The sequence below is a fragment of the Homo sapiens genome, chromosome 5 (genome assembly GCF_000001405.40).
Source record: "Homo sapiens chromosome 5, GRCh38.p14 Primary Assembly".
Classification (NCBI taxonomy): Eukaryota; Metazoa; Chordata; class Mammalia; order Primates; family Hominidae; genus Homo; species Homo sapiens.
In genome coordinates this window covers 157,347,530-157,364,220 of record NC_000005.10, presented here as the reverse complement: position 1 = coordinate 157,364,220, position 16,691 = coordinate 157,347,530, and the positions used below count along the sequence as shown (strand labels likewise).

The window sequence follows — 16,691 nt, the reverse complement described above, 5'->3', positions numbered from 1 at the left end:
GGACCCACCCCCCCCCGCCACCCCGCCCCACCTCCACTGTTCTGGTGCCCCTGAGGCCTTCAGAAGTTGTTCCTATTTATCCCTACGACTTCTGAGGGCTACGTTGCTATAGCAACCTGGGTCTGCTGATCTGTGTAAAAAACTTATCAATTAGCTGTCTGGAGAGTCCATTTAAGGGGTAACAGAGAAGCAATTACTCCTTATAGAGGAAGCGCAAACAGTCCCCATTTCAGAGCCTCTCAGGGAGAGTCTGAGAATGGCAGGTCCAAGTCACTCATTTTAGGGACGGGGGCACTGAGGGATGAAATGAACTGGTTCATCCCAAGTCACAAAGACAATTAGAGGCAAGGCATCCTTTCTGGCTCTGATTCAGAAGCTCCATTATCTCTCTACCTTTGTTCCAGGCTTCTCCTTTCCCCTCCCGTCTATTCTCCAAGCACCTATTGCCTCCAAGATGGGCTCTAGACTGTAAGAGCCTTGTCCTTCACTCTCCCAGTAGCCCCCAGGCCTTTGAAAACAGCCAGGCAGACCCCCTCACCTGCTGCTCACATGGCATCCTGTGGTGGCCCACGAAGCCCCAGTGACCTGCTGCCTGGCTGCCTCCCTCCACGGCTCTAACCTCTGTCCCCTTGGCACCAGCTCACTATGAGGTCCTCCCTATTCCTTAAGACCAAGCTCCAGCCTCTTCAAAAACAGCACATCTCTCTCTGACACAGCCACTCTCCCTTTATCCTGTGTATTCCTTCACAGCTCCCCTCCCCATCTGCAACCACACTCTGATTGTTACGACTTTGCTCGTTCCCCTCTCTGGAATAAAAATGGTAAAACTCTGTCTCTTATTCATGACCATTTATCCACAACCTAGAACTGCTCCTGGCAATGAAGAGGCTCGCCACGCCTCTTGCTGAATGAGTGGATGGATGGCTGGATGCTAAAAGAGATTCCCACTAGGTTCTGAGAATGAGGCATCCCAGAGTAACATCCTGTTTCCTTCTCCGTTACCTCGACACCTGTAGGACTGGGCCGACTGGGAGCACCATGTGGAGAACAGAGACAAACTGGAGTGCCTTGGGGAGGAAGGAGGAGAGCACAGTCTCTGAGTCAGCCATGAGGCAGAGCAAATACAAGTGGTCATGCAGGAAGAAGAGTGCTGGTTCTGCGGGGTCCTAAGAGGGAGATGTACGGGGGGTGTGCTTTGTTCAATATGACAACACTACCAATGGTTTAGTTCTTACTGCATGAGCTTTACATGTGGTGTATCTTTCTGGCCTTGAAACTATCCTGCAGGGTAAAACAACTGTCCCCCATCATAAGAAATGAAGGTAACAGTGCATGTTCTCCCCTCAGCCTGGGACAGCTTCACCAGGCAAATTCCTGCTCATTCTCCAGGCCATCTCCCCAGAGAAGTCCTTCCTCAACCTCAAGAACACATCGAGTTCTCTGTCTTCTGTTCCCACAGGACCCTGCAGTCACCCCTCCTAGCTCTTGCTGTAACAGTAGACACATGATTTCGGTGTAAATATGGACAGGACAGGAGGCAGGGCTGGACACTGCTACATGCCCCAGAACAGTGCCTGTCCTATGATATCCAAGGAATAATTATCTAATGAGTGAGATGGAGCAGGGAACCCTCTTAGGGGCCCTGCAGCACCGCCCCCGCCAAGCATGGAAATAAAATCTTGAGTTTCTTCAAGGGAAATTCCAGGCACCTAGCTAGCCCTGAGAAGTAAATAAGCAAGCTGATAAGCAAGAAGGTAATAGTAACTAACTTAAAACAACAGCCAAGGAAGCTAGAATCATGGGATGTTTGATTCCCTACAGAAATTAAAGATAACATCTTCACATATGAACCAGAGTTCTTTTTCAGAAACCTGGACCCACACCAAACAGATGTGCTGGCATGCATGCAGACCTCAGATAAGAGGGAACTGCAGGCCGAACTCTGACCGCAGTTCCAGTTCTTTGTTCTAAACTTATTCTTAGGAGGCCTGGAAGAAGCCATACCCACAAGCTGGAGCTAACATTCTTTTCTGCTGACCCTAAATTTTAAAACAAAGCTTCTCTTCCTTACCCAATTGCAAAGCAGAAACTCTCTGAAATCTACCTATGACTATAAGCCCCCACCCACTTCAAGACGATAGCCTGCCCCTTTGGGCTAAACCAATGTGTAACCTCCATACAATGACTTATAACTTTGCCTGAAACTTCTGCTTTCCTGAAATTTACCCCTGCCTTTAAAAACCCTTGTTTGCAAGCCATTGGAGAGGTGGGGTGTTAAGAGAGAACTGCTCAGTTCTCCTTGCTTGGTACTCTGAAAATAAACACCCTCCTTTCTCCTGCAGTAAACCTCAGCGTGGATGTTTGTTTTTACTGTGCCAGGCAGGTGGACCCCAGTTTGGTTCCATAACATGAGGGAATGGCAAACTGAGACCTAGACAACTGCACTAATCGTGAATGGGGGAGCCAGGACTAGAATCCATGTCTGTCTGGAAATGAACTGAAAAGAGCATGTGAGCTTGTACTCAAAGCACAAATCAATGCTGCAGGAGCCTCAATATCTGCTTGGGGTTGGCATCCCCTCCAACCTGGAGACACCCCACTTCCTTTGGGCTCTGGACTTACCAGAGCTTGCTCTATGAGGAGGCAGAAGAGGATGGCATTGCCCACTTCCCTCAGGCTCTGGAACACGTCTGTTTTGAGCTCTGCGTACTCAATGATGTCCTTCAGCTGGTGGTGGAAGAACTCCAGGATCCCTGGGAGGTGAATCGGGGTGGTCAGTGGGAAGTTGACACTGCTCAGTAGGGTCTATGGGAAACAATGACTGAGTGGCAGCCCCAGACCTGACTCTGGGATAGCAAAAAGCCAAACCACGCATCCCTCTTACCTGCAGGCCCAGAGTGAGATTTCTTTCAGGGCTCAGTACTGGACAAAGTTCGAGTAGCTGGCTCATGTCTTTTTCAGAACACACACACGCACACACATGCACACACACACAAACACAGGCACACAAATGAGGCACCATTGGACCCTTCCCAGTCCCTCCAAAGTTGCCTGACTTCCTAATCATGACAGGAATTAATATTTATTAGTAGGTGTCAGATATTGTGCTGAGCACTTTATCTGTAATATCTCATTTAATACAATATCACTAACTAGGCACTATTACCCTGGTTTCAGATGAGGCTCAGAGAGGGTAAGGGGCATGCCCATAGTCACACAGGTAGTAAGTAGGGCAGCTGGGACTGAACACCAGAAATTTTAGCCTTATCTTTTTCCTATTGTGAATCACACAGATCCAGCACTAGACATCTTGGTTTTGGAAAGAAACATCAGATGCCAATTCACAGTCCCCATTTTTCCCTCTTCTCCAGGCCCTGTTTTCAGTTCACTATTAAGGAAGGAAATGATTATTTCTCTGCCCAGCGGTCAAACAGCAAAGATGTCCATTTCCTGACTTATCTTAGATGTGTCAACTTGGCACCACTGCCTGGAGCCTCAGTCTCCCCAAATATGCAGATGGAGGAAGAGCTCCTGGAGGTGCTGAGCTCATAAATACCTTTTCTAATAACCTGGCTCTGCATTATTTAAACATGCTTACATTTGCTGTCCTCTTCCAACTTCCCAGCAGTCCCATGAGGCAGGTCCCGCAAGCATCATCTCCCTACACTGACAAGATGATAACATTGCTCAGAGGGATTAAAAGGCTATCTAGCTAGTGGCGGGGTAGGATGGATAGCCAGTACTCTGCCAGCTCACTGGCATGTTAGAGAAGCAAACGCTCTAAGGTGGATGGTCAGAGCCTCCCTCCCCACCATGGGAGGGGTCTGGATTGTTTTGCTATCACCAACCTGGGGAGCCATACTCATGTCGGGGCAAGCGGCATATCTTGGGCATCACCTCTATCAGTGTTTTCACATACTGGAGAATGGTTCCTTGGAGCTGACAAAAGAAGAGTACAGATGAGTGGGCTGAATTCTGGGCTATGCGGGGTATGGAGGTTATGCTGAGACCTCTGAGAGGATGGGGCAGGCTCTTGCCTAAAGGCGGGGAACAGTCCCTTTGACCTTTATAAGGGAAAATAAGCCTTTATAAGACTGAAAAAGGAGCTCTCTCGTTGTCTTGGGCTTACAGACTTCAAGGAGGGCACATTTCTAGGTGTAGGGTCTTTCCTGGGGCTGAGGATGCTTATAGCAGATTCAGACAAAGAGCTAAAATGAAATGGAGCCAGGAAATTGTGCAGATTGAAACATGCTATTTAATTTCAGCCTGGAAAATTCATGGCACATTCATCCCTCCTGTGCCCAAGGCAGACATCTTTAATCAATTACCACATTTTCTTGTTTTACTCTGGATTTAGCTCCACAATCTGTAACAACCCATGGTTCCACAAAGCTACTGCCAAAGAATTGGAGTTAGCAGATTAATCCTATTTGCTATTCCTGACCTGGTTATATATTACTTTCTCTTTCATCATTTGAAATTTTCATAAACATCTTAAATGTTTTGGCCTTCAGCAGTGTTGCAGGAAATTAAATGAAATTCAGATGACCATATTTGGGGCAGATTCAGAATAGTGGTAAAGGGATACAGAACTCTCTTGAAGCCAGTGCAGTATGGGGAGCAGTGTTCAGCAAGAAATCCCAAGGGAAAGAAGCATGATGCCTGATTAGAGATGTCTGCCATGGGTAAGGGCGTGGAAAATGGCAGCACATGTGTCATGAATTTGCCCTGCTCAAATTAGATAATGGAGCACAGCTGGGGAGGATGAGCAGTCAGTGGCAAGCGCTGAAGGACAATATCAGGATTTCTGAGTTCAGTCATCAAATACAAGGAGTCTGGGGGTCAGAAAATGAGGAGCACAGCTATAGGTCAAAATGTGCACAGAAATGTAACAGAATGATAGGTAAGACCAATCCAGGGATATGGGCAAGGGAACTCCTTGAGTGGTTTCTACAGGTAGAGCTGCAGTGCCTGGGATTTGTTTTTACAGGCCAGGTAAAAAGTAAAAGCAAACTTTGTTTATGTCAAACCCACATGGGCATATCTCAAGCCACACTGAGGCCTTTCCTTACCAAGCTCTTCACAATCTTTAGCAGTTCCTCCATGACCACAGCGATGCCCTGATAACCCAGGAGTCTGCAGATAGTCTTGAAATGAGGTGGCCCCACGAAATTCCTGTAGGAGCTGTAGATGTGGCTGTAGGCAATGTTGAGAGGCTGGAAAACAGAGGTAGTGGCAAATAAGTGCCTGAGTACTGAATGGACACTGGTGGAGTCCTGGCAGATGTTCTGCTGACAGAAGCATTAGGAACCCAGTGTTACGAGCGTGCTCACTGGAGCCCCATGAATATGTTTGCAAAATGGTGGTCATAGAGAGAGGTGTGGTCAGTGACTACAGGATGGCGCACAGTCACCAGATGGAGCAGCCACTCCCTAGCAGAAGAGGATAAAGGGCTTCCAAGCAAATACCCCTTTTACAGGGATTCCTGCCACCCATGACGTTCCACACCCAAACCAGGAGTTTTACAAATTGAGCCATGGGGGAAAAGATAAACAGCCGATATCCTTTCTTAAGAGACATTACTAGTACTAGACATTGGCTGGAAGAACCATGTGAAAACTCAACAGCTGGTTCAACATTGTCATCTTTCCTCTACTGTTAGTTGTTTCCATCTATGACAGGCAGGGTCCTGGGAACACACAGGCCTGGGAGTCAGGAGATCTCTGCTGAGTGCATGGGACAACCACCTACAGTTTTCGAGCCTTAGTTTCCACATCTATGAAATGAGGGGTTGGATTAAGTCAGTGGTTTCCCAACTTTAAGAGCAGCAATCCAAAAGAAAGATGCCACAGAACTTCATATGTGAAGCAGGCAAAATGGAGCTGCTCTGGCTTGATGCTGGCTGGGGACCCACAGACCTGGCCACCACCATTGTCCGCTGAACCCCATGAGACACCATAACTGAATTTGAAGGATCTCTTTAAGATCTTTGTCTGAGTATATACAACCATGCTATAGGGCCCTAAACTGGTCTCACTTGGTTGGTGAGAATGAAAAGTTATCATCGACTCTAACGCTCTGTTCTGGAAATGCTGCCGCTTACGGAGCACCTAATGCCAGGCTTTGTGAAACCCTCCAGGTGCACTATTGTTTAATCCACCCGACAAATCTATGTGATCTATATCATTATTAGCCCCATTTCACAGATGAGGGAACTGAGGCTCAGGTGGGAAAAAGCCTGCACTCACCCTGAAGTGGGTACGGCTGATTCCAAAGCCCATGCTCCACCTATCATGGTGTATTTTGGAAGTTGAATTCTTATATAAATGATACTCAGTTTTTTACATAAGGTTTCAGTTCAAAACTTAGGTTTTTTTCTTTGTTTTTTTTTTGAGACAGATTCTTGCTCTGTCGCCCAGGCTAGAGTGCAGGGGTGCGATCTCGGTTCACTGCAATCTCTGCCTCGGGTTCAAGCAATTCTCCTGCTTCAGCCTCCCAAGTAGTTGGGATTACAGGTGCCCTCCACTATGCACAGCTAATTTTTTTGTATTTTTAGTAGAGGTGGGGTTTCACCATGTTGGCCAGGCTGGTTTCAAACTCCTGACCTCAAGTGATCTTCCCACCTCAGCCTCCCGAAGTGCTAGGATTATAGGCATGAGCCACTGCACCCAGCCCAAAACTTAGTTCTGAGTGTAGTTCTCCCAACTGGAATTGCAAAAATCTTGTACATGGAACATGCAATTTATGGGATGACCACATAAGATATTCCATTCACTGAAATTCTCTATTAGCTAGCTAGTTAGAAATTATACATCAGTTAAATGGAAATTCTAATGATGCTTTTGGAGTACTGCAAGATTTTCAACTCCCTTTGGAGCCATCAAGAAAATATTTAATTGAGTTCAGTCTAAGTTTTGAATTAGGTACGTATGTATGAATTATTCTAAACTTTACAAAACAAGCATCACAAGTATGCACTAATAACAAGGATCCGTGACGAACACAATTAGAGTGCCCACTAATAGCAAGGACTTGTGAAGAATCAGAACACCCACTCATTCACCAGGTTCAGTAATAGTTCTCTTGGTGAGCTCATGCCTAGATATTGGGAGGCCTGGAACGTGAGAAGGAGCAAAATTTTGTACATGACACTGAGAAGCTGTCACAGCAAGCTCTGCCTGAACCTAGGGGAGGTACTTATTGTATTTAGCTTCGAAATGTATGGGCCAGTAATAGCTTACATAGGGATAAAATGGAACTGACTTAAGAGTATGATGTTCACTGAAGCTGATGTTCAGCAAATCCTGGGAGTGTATGACTTGCTGAGTTGATTTAGCTAACCGTGGGGCCAGGCCATGTCATTTTCTAGGTGTGGAACAAATCTATTTGAGTGCCTCTGTCACAGGCCACCCTGTCAAATGGGGCCAGGACTACTAGGTTGAGGTGACTGAGGCATGTAGGATATGCAAAATGCTAGGAGGCGTGTACTCTTCTAAGCGAGTGCAGCTTAGTTTTTGCCCTGTTAGCAAAGCCCCACTCTGTATTCTCCTGTTTCCCTCTCTGGAGGTGATGAATACATAGCAATCACCAAACAAGCCATGGCTTACCTCTGGTGGGAGGAGGAGACTAACTGGAAAGGGGCATGAGAGGACTTCCTAGGGTGATGGAAAAGCTCTACATCCTGACTGGGCTGTTGACTACATAGAAGTGTTTGTCAAAACTCACAGAACTGTACATACAATTATGATCTGTGCCATGTGCACTGAATGCGTCCCTTCCAAATTAGGATTTGGAATCTTAATCACGAACAAATTAGGATTTTTGTGTTGAAATCCTAACCGCCAATATGATAGTATTAGGAGGTGGGCCTTTGAGAGGTGATCAGGCCATGAGGGTGGAGCCCTCATGAGTGGGATCAGTGCCCTCATCAGAAAAGACAAGAGTGCTTGCTGTCTCTCTCTCCTCTATGCCATGGGAGCCTACAGTGAGGAGAGGGGCCATCTGCACACCAGGAAGTGGGCCCTCACCAAACACTGGATCTGTTGGCACCTTAATCTTAGACTTCTCAACCTCTAGAACTGTGAGAAATAAATGTTTGTTATTCAAGTCACTCAGCTTATGGTATTCTTGTTATAGCAGGCTGAACTGACAAAGACAGTGCATCTTACTGAATATGACTATACTTCAATAAAAAAGTAAATTTAAAAATCCCACTGAGCTATGTCATAGCTTAATTCACCTTCCCAACATGATTTTCAAAGGTTAAAAAGCAGAAACATGCTTTAAATTTTCTCCTGAAGAGGGCTGCAGCTTCAGCCAGCACAGGCACCAGGTGACAAAGACCTGGCTGTGCTCACAGCCATGGGAACATAGTGCTCATGGACTGCCCTGACAGCCTTCTCATTCTCCACCCACACCAGGGACTCTAGGCTTCTCCTGTAAACCCAGCAAAGCTCTCAGCACATTCTCGTTTGTCCCCTTTTCAAATATTTCAGAAAGGAATTTCTGAGTAGCAAGCAGCTTTCTAATGGATATCACTGGAGGGGACAAAAAGCAATCATCTACTTATATTTTCTGTCTGATTCTCTGACTTCTTTTCTAGCTTGTCTGAGTCCATAGGATGGGCTTTGGGGTGGGCACACCTCAGTTCAAATTCTAGGTCTGTAAATGCACTAGTTAGATGCTCTTGGGCAAATTACCTAAACCCTCTAAGCCTTAATTTCCCCTAAGTAGAGATGATAATACCAAATCCAATAGGGTTGTTTGAGGTTTAAATGTGATCACATATATAAAGCAGTCAGCATGGTGCCTGGCACACTGGAAACGCTCACTGAAAAAATAGCCATTAATATTATTTTGTTTGATGACTTGGTAAATAAAGACAAAAACACAGCTTTCTGGTCGAATTTCCCCCAGCAGCTTTGGCGACAGCTACGATTCTCTGATTGTAAACAGGGGAGTGCATATGTGGGGGGTAATTTTATGCAACACAGCATGTACCCCACAAAGTGATAGGACAGAGGTGAGAGCCAGGACTAGTTGATAGAATGCACCAAAAAATGCATTTTATTCAACATTAAGAACATCATAAAAATGGGAGATGTTCAGTAACAGATTGTACTGGGTGGAGTTCCTCCTCACTGCAGGTATCTTATAACAACAGGGTTGTTATAAGGGGTCCCATCAAGGGCTGGAAGTGGGGATAGACGTGCTCCCTCTAGAGGATCAAGCTGAAACGCATTCTTCCTGGACGCTCATCCTTCTGAGTGGTGTCCTAAACCCTCACCGCCACCCAAGGAGCTTCTAGTACCAAGCTTCCCTGAACACTTCCTGGCAAGCACAAATAAATACACATTTACATATATGGAAACTGTTCAGCAGGAATTCCCAGATCTAGGCAGAGGCGGAGAATAGTATTGGAACTGTTTTACCACGTAAGGATTTTTAAAATGCCCCCTACACACCCACTCGGTTCACTTTGGAGGCCCCTGATTGACATTCCTATGTCAGTCTTGGATTCTGGTCTAGACTGGGAGTTTAGGCTTCAGTTGATGGTCCAAGATGCATTTCATGTGAGAAGGACCAGCATGAAATGAGGAGAATTCAAATCCTCCTCCTAAGATTAAAAAAAATCCCCCCCGACCCCTCATTCCCCCAAATATACCCCACGCATGCAAGAAGAAATGCACACGCATGCTGAAAAGTACACACACACTCATCCCCGAAGGGCACCCATCTGACCTGCTGGCTCAATAGGAGGCTGGGCCCTATTGAGAAAATGTGGGAATAGGGGAGCCTGGGCATTTTCTGAGGGTTGGCAAAGAAAAACAAGAATGCAACATGACATGAGCCATTGGAAACTTGCCATTGAACCAATTCTGCTAACTGATAGGTTCCAATCAATGGGCCTCATAGGAAACTAATTATGTATCCTGCCTGGTTAGGATGGCTCACTTAAAATTAAGCTTATTTAAATCCACACTACACAAAATAGATAGCTTTATGAGATCTCAAGAAATAAACAACCCTGATTCAGGAATTAGAGCCATGTTATTACTGTGTGACGCAGACCTGCATTTTCTTAAAAAAAGCAAAAAAGCATTTTTAAGGAGAGAAAAAAATATGGTGAGTTTAATCTGGCAGATCCTGGGCACTGTAATATTATCTGTAGATGAACTTTAAAATGTTGTGGCAAAATATACAAATAAAATTCACCATTTTAGCCATGTTTAAATGTTGTATACAGACTTTTCATCTATCCGTTGAGATAGGCCTCTATCTCATCAGATGGTAAACACGGCCAGCCACTTCAAACAGTAAGGCCTATTTACTTGGTAAACTGAATTTGTAAGCAATTTGCATCTCTGCTCTCTGGAATCACAATTGCTGTTTTCAGAGATCCCAAGAGGAATTAAACTGTTCCTAATTTCCTATTTTTGTTACAATTTCTCTAATGGATATCATCAGCCCGCAAACACAAACACAGCTCTCTAATTTAGGTGGAATGGCTGCAGCTCAATTCCCTAAAATCACTGCAGGTAAATAAAGGCGACGGCAAAAATAAAACAGCAGCATCGTCCTTGTCGGGAAGATCACAGAGCAAGACAGTGCCAAGGACTGATCAATTCTCAGTTCCAGGATCAAATCCATTGTAAACGCTTGGGTAAAACTACTAATGTGTCTATGTGTCTGTCTGTCTGTTCTTGACATTTGGGGGGCCATAGGGCTGGGTCTCCAACATCTGGGTTCCTTCTTGGCCTTCTCAGCTCAGAGGCTGAAAGATCCAAAGAGCTGCTATGCAGATCTCAAGAAATGACGCTCCTTTCTCTCCTGGGCTATGAATAAGGTGCGTTGGAAAAGGCAAGCAGGGGAACAGGAGCCGAGCCTTCCAGCTGAGAGATCACATCAACACTGTCACACTCAGAGATGCTAAAACTTTTGAAGGGAACCAATGTCATCACTTTTCTTGATAATCAGTACTCATGTGATGACACACAAGTATATCAAGCTTCTCTGTGAATTTTTCACATACGAATTCCGTCACAGCCGCCCACATTGTTTTCTGTGGCTGCTCTAACAATTACCACAAATTTGGTGGCTTCGAACAACAGCAATGTATTCTCTCAGGCTTCTGGAAGCCAGAAATCCAAACTGGTATCACTAGGCCAAAATCAAGGTGTCGGCAGGGCCACATTCCCTCCAGAAACTGCAGGGGACGATCTGTTTCCCGTCTCTTCAGCTACTGGAGGCTGGCGGCAATCCCGGGCTTGCAGCTGCACCACTCCAATCTTCCCATCTCTCTGCTGGGTCTTCGTATGGCCTTCTCCTCTTACATGTGTAAGCTCCCTCTGCTTCTCCCTTATGACACTTACGATAGCATGTAGGACCCAGCATAACCCAAGATAATCCAGGATTATCTTCCCATCTCAAGGTCCTCCAGTTAATCACATCTCCAAAGACCTCTTTCCAAAGAAAGTTACATTGACAGGTTCCAGGATTAGGACCTGATGTCTTTGGGAAACATTCTCAGCCTTCTAAACCAGGTAAGGCAGTGCAAGTATCCCCATTTAGCAGAAGTGGAATCTGAATCCCAAGTGTAATGAAGTGACTTGTCTGGGGTGAGATACAAGATGAAATTCTGCATAGGAAATTCCATATGTATTGGTTGCCAAAATCACAAAAGCCTTCTGGACTGGTGGGTAAACTACCTTGTAGAAGTGGTACCATGCAGACAGAAGGGTGGGGTGGTGGCAGGGAAGTGGGAGGTGCTGTTGGTGGTGGTGTCACAGGGACCAAGATTCCCCTGGTCAGCCCAGGCGGGCAGTGTTGGCATCCAGGTGTGTACCCAGCTGAGCTGTGCCCAGCTTGCTGCAGCAAAGCACTGGGTTCTGGGTCCTAAGGATATGATTTAACAAGGGAGGCACTGTGGTAGTATGACGGTATGATGCATTTGCCTGAGGTCAAACTGTGCCTCAGATGGGGGCTTGTGACAACCAGGCCAAACAGATCACACCAACAATTTCTAAGGGCCAAAAAATTACCAGGAAGTTATTGGAATAATTGAATGAATGCTTTATGCCGCAATCTATGTCACTTGGAAGGCAGTTTTAGGATAGACTCTATATAATTTACTTTATTTAGAGAATATATTCTTAAAGTTTTGATTCATATATTAATTTTGATTACTTGACCAGTTGTTAAAGTTTTGTTTTATTGAGCATCATCTCTAAGTGACAGAGCTCTTGCACAGAAGAACTTAGACTCCAGAGTAGGGCCTGTTCAGAAGAGGAAACACTTGCTGGTCATATTTCTCCAAATGAGTTGATGTCTTCCCTGACGCTACCACATCAGGTGGTTAGATGTTCTCTGTAAGAGCTTTTAGTTCTTCACCTGCTCCAGCATTCTGGAGTCCACCATACTATGAAGTCCTGGCCCTACCTCTCAAGGGAAGCTAATCACAAAGCAAAGGGCTACTATGGACTGAAGAATCACAGGTTACAGGATGGTACAAGCAGAGCAGCAGAGCATCAAAGAGGCCAGCCAGGATCTCCAGCTCTAGTGGCCAACAGGCCCAGGCTTACACCATTGTTTGCCAGGACCTTGCTTTGTGAGAGCAGCCAAGCCGGCCCCGCTGAGCTTCAGTCTCTCCCGTTGTACAATGGTGATAAGAAGGCCGATCTCAAGGAGTTGTCATGTGGTTTGTAAAACGAGAACACACATGTTAAATGCAGAAAAAGTTCCCAAGTTTCTGAGTTGTATGAGTTTTACTGTCATCTTTGAACTTTTCAATATTATTTATGTACAATGAGCATATACATTAAAAAATAAAACCAATAAAAGTGATTTAAGAGAGGAAAAGCAAGGAAGTGCTATGCAATTCAGGGTGTAAACTTTGCTCATTATAGCCTCTGGATGAAGCTATGACCAACTCAGGAAATGGCTCTGAACCACTGACCTTTTCTTCTTAATAATAACAGCTACTATTCGTAAGCCCAGGACTTTACAGACATGGGTTCATCTGTTACAAATAACACTACAAGACAGGCATTATAATATTCTCATTTTTAAAGTGGGGGAATTTCCCCCGAGAACTGGAACAAGACAAGGGTGCCCACTTTAACCACTTCTATTCAACATAGTACTGGAAGTCCTAGCCAGAGCAGTAAGACAAGAGAAAGAAATAAAGGGCATCCAAGTGAGTAAAGTGGAAATCAAACTGTCACTGTTTGCTGATGATATGACTGTATACCTAGAAAACCCTAAAGGCTCATGCTATACACCAACACCGACCAAGCTGAGAATCAAATCAAGAACTCAACCCCTTTCACAATAGCTGCAAAAAAATTAAAATAGTTAGGAATATATCTAACCAAGGAGGTGAAAGACCTCTACAAGGAAAACTACAAAATACTGTTGAAAGAAATCATAGATGACACAAACAAATGGAAACACATCCCATGCTCATGGATGGGTAGAATCAATATTGTGGAAATGACAACACTGCCAAAAGCAATCCACAAATTCAATGCAATTCCCACCATCAAAGTACCATCATCATTCTTCACAGAACTAGAATAGACAATGCTAAAATGAATATGAAACTGAAAAAGAGCCCACACAGCCAAAGCAAGGCTAAGCAAAAGGAGCAAATCTGGAGGCATCACATTACCCGACTTCAAACTATACTATCAGGCTATAGTCACGAAACAGCATGGTAATGTCATTAAAATGGCATATAGACCAATGGAACAGAATAGAGAACCCAGAAATAAAGCCAAATACTTACATCCAACTGATCTTTGACAAAGCAAACAAAAATATAAAGCGGGGAAAGGACAGACACCCTTTTCAACAAATGGTGCTGGGATAATTGGCAAGCCACATGTAGAAGAATGAAACTGGATCCTCATCTCTCACCTTATACAAAATTCAACTCAAGATGGATCAAAGACTTAAATCTAAGACCTGAAACCATAAAAATTTTATAAGATAACATCTGAAAAACCCTTCTAGACATTGGCTTAGGCAAAGACTTCATGACCAAGAGCCCAAAAGCAAATGCAACAAAAACAAAGATAAATAAATGGGACTTAAACTAAAAAACTTCTGCATAGCAAAAGAAATAATCAGCAGAGTAAACAGACAACCCACAGAGTGGGAGAAAATCTTTGCAAACTATACATCTGACAAAGGACTAATACCCAAAATCTACAAGGAATTCAAACAAATCAGTAAGAAAAACAAACAAACAAACAAACAATCCCATCAAAAAGTGGGCTAAGGACATGAACAGACAATTCTCAAAAGAAGATATACAAATGGCCAACAAACATAAAAGAAAAAGCTCAGCATCGCTAATGATCAGGGAAATGCAAATCAAAACCACAATGTGATATCACCTTACTCCTGCAAGAATGACCATAATCGAAAATCAAAAAATAATAGATGTTGGCGTGGATGTGGTGAAAAGGGAACACTTTTACGCTGCTGGTGGGAATGTAAACCAGTACAAATATAATGGAAAAGAGTGTGGAAATTCCTTTAAGAACTAAAAGTGAGAACTACCATTTGATCCAGCAATCCCACTACTGGGTATCTACCCAGAGGAAAGGAAATCATTCGAAAAGGATATTGCACACGCATGTTTATAGCAGCACAATTCGCAATTGCAAAAATATGGAACCAGCCCAATGCCCACTAATCAATGAGTGGATAAAGAAAATGTGGCATGTATACATCATGGAATACTACTCAGCCATAAAAAGCAATGAAATAACGGCATTTGCAGCAACCTGGATGGAGTTGGAGACCATTATTCTAAGTCAAGTAACTCGGGAATGGAAAACCAAACATGATTATGTTCTCACTTGAGTGGGAGCTAAGCTATGAGGACAGAAAGGCATTAAGAATGATACAATGAATTTTGGAGACTCAGAAGGGTGGGAGGAGGGAGAGGGATAAAAGACTACACATTGGGCATAGCGTATACTGCTCGTATGATGGGTGCACCAAAATCTCAGAAATCACCACTAAAGAATTAATCTACGTAACCAAAAACCACCTGTTCCCCCAAAATTTATTGAAATAAAAAAAACTGAAATAAGTAAATAAATAAATAAATACATAAAGTGAGGGAATTTGGCCAGGTGCGGTGGCTAATGCCTGTAGTCCCAGTACTTTGGGAGGCCAAGGTGGGTGGATTGCTTGAGCCCAGGAGTTCGAGACCAGTCTGGGCAACACGGTGTGGGGAGGATGCTTTTTTTTTTTTTTTGAGATGAAGTCTTCCACTGTCGCCCAGGCTGGAGTGCAGTGGTGCGATCTTGGTTCACTGCAATGGCAGGGTGCTTTTATGCTCTGTGGGGACTCACCACTAGCTCTTGGGAAGAGGCATGCTGTATGCATTGCTGCAGATTTAAGACAGGCCCCTGGGAAGACTGAATGCCATGGGAAAGCCGCAGAGCAACTATCTGATCTCATATCTACTAAAAATACAAAAATTAGCCAGGTGAGGCGGGGGGCAGTGGCTCACGCCTGTAATCCCAGTACTTTGGGAGGCTGAGGTGGGTGGATCACCTGAGGTCAGAAGTTCAAGACCAGCCTGGCCAACATGGTGAAACTCCGTCTCTACTAAAAATACAAAAATTAGCTGGGCATGGTGGTGCACACCTGTAGTCCCAGGTACTCGGGAGGCTGAGGCAGGAGAATCACTGGAACCCGGGAGGCAGAGGTTGCAGTGAGCCGCAATTTTGCCACTGCATTCCAGCCTGGGCAACAGAGTGAGACTCCAGCTCAAAAATAATAATAATTAGCCAGGGGTGGTAGTGCACACCTGTAGTCCTAGCTACTTGAGGGGGCTGAGGCAGGAGGATCTCCTGAGCCTTGGGAGGTCAAGGCTGCAGTGAGCCATGACTGTGCCACTGCACTCCAGCCTGGGAATTCCAGGGCGTGCTCTGTGAGCCACTCACTTTCCCCATGTGCCAATCCAGCTTTGGGACTGGGGCTTGCCCCATATTATCCCTTCACTGCCACCTTCAGGAAGGGTGGAAGAACCTTGCTCCTAGCTGATTTCCTCTAGCAGTAATTTACTACTGATGTCAACTAGCTGGGGCTCACCTGGCCTGAGAGCGAAGAGGCTACAACTTGCACAGACTCTGGAGGAATTGTCCCTGATGATGGAGAAAGTGTGAGCCTGGCTGGGGTGTAATGTCCTGGGGCAGGTGTCCCAGATACTTTATCTCCTTCACAAACGGCTGCACTGGCTCCTCTGGGTGCTGCTGGTGAGCGGCGACAGCTCAGAGGAGCGGGATGAACCCTGGCCTCCGCCTCCGAGTCTGGGGCCCCACCCCATTTCACTGGCAGCTCTGCCACTCATCAGTCAAGCGGTCTGAGGAATGCCATGTCTTCTCCCAGGACTGTGAAACAAGAGGGCTTGGAGGCCTCACATTCTCTGAGTATCTTAATTCCACAGTGGAAAATTTCTCTTGGTTAAAAATGTCATCCAAGAATATTAAAAATAAATTCCAATTTTCTGTGGAAAAAGGCTTGAGTTCTACCTTGTTCCTCCTCAGACCCCTTAACTCTGGTATTTTTACTCCCCGCAAAATAACCTTTTCAAAGGGCATCTGCAAACAGCTGCGTGGCCTTTCTGTGGGGAGGATGCTTTTATGCTCCGTGGGGACTCACCATTAGCA

General features: G+C 45.0%; 1 protein-coding gene and 1 long non-coding RNA gene across 10 annotated transcripts in view, besides 1 other annotated feature; one reads left to right on the top strand and one right to left on the bottom strand.

Moving 5' to 3' along the window:
- The window catches only part of NIPAL4-DT (NIPAL4 divergent transcript), a 97,486-nt gene extending 95,880 nt beyond the window's left edge, over positions 1 to 1,606 (top strand). For both annotated transcript variants that reach the window (NR_136205.1, NR_136204.1), the window contains one exon: positions 1,017 to 1,606. This is a non-coding gene — a long non-coding RNA (NIPAL4 divergent transcript). The remainder of the gene's footprint in view (positions 1 to 1,016) is intronic.
- Positions 1 to 16,691, bottom strand: part of CYFIP2 (cytoplasmic FMR1 interacting protein 2) — a 129,472-nt gene that overhangs the window by 31,374 nt on the left and 81,407 nt on the right. For all 8 annotated transcript variants that reach the window (XM_011534516.4, NM_001291722.2, NM_001037333.3 and 5 more), the window contains 3 exons: positions 5,073 to 5,216; positions 3,849 to 3,939; positions 2,623 to 2,753 (listed from right to left, as the gene is read on the bottom strand). In XM_011534516.4, the coding sequence (XP_011532818.1) occupies positions 2,623 to 2,753; positions 3,849 to 3,939; positions 5,073 to 5,216 (366 nt within the window). The remainder of the gene's footprint in view (positions 1 to 2,622; positions 2,754 to 3,848; positions 3,940 to 5,072; positions 5,217 to 16,691) is intronic.
- Positions 1,815 to 2,025: a silencer, noted in NCBI's record as "fragment chr5:156789204-156789414 (GRCh37/hg19 assembly coordinates)". NCBI's record gives its function as "represses an EF-1alpha promoter that drives an FKBP-Casp9 reporter gene in an ReSE screen in HepG2 liver carcinoma cells and phorbol 12-myristate 13-acetate-treated (for megakaryocytic differentiation) K562 erythroleukemia cells {active_cell/tissue: HepG2 | K562(+PMA)}" and the evidence as "EXISTENCE:reporter gene assay evidence [ECO:0000049][PMID:32094911]".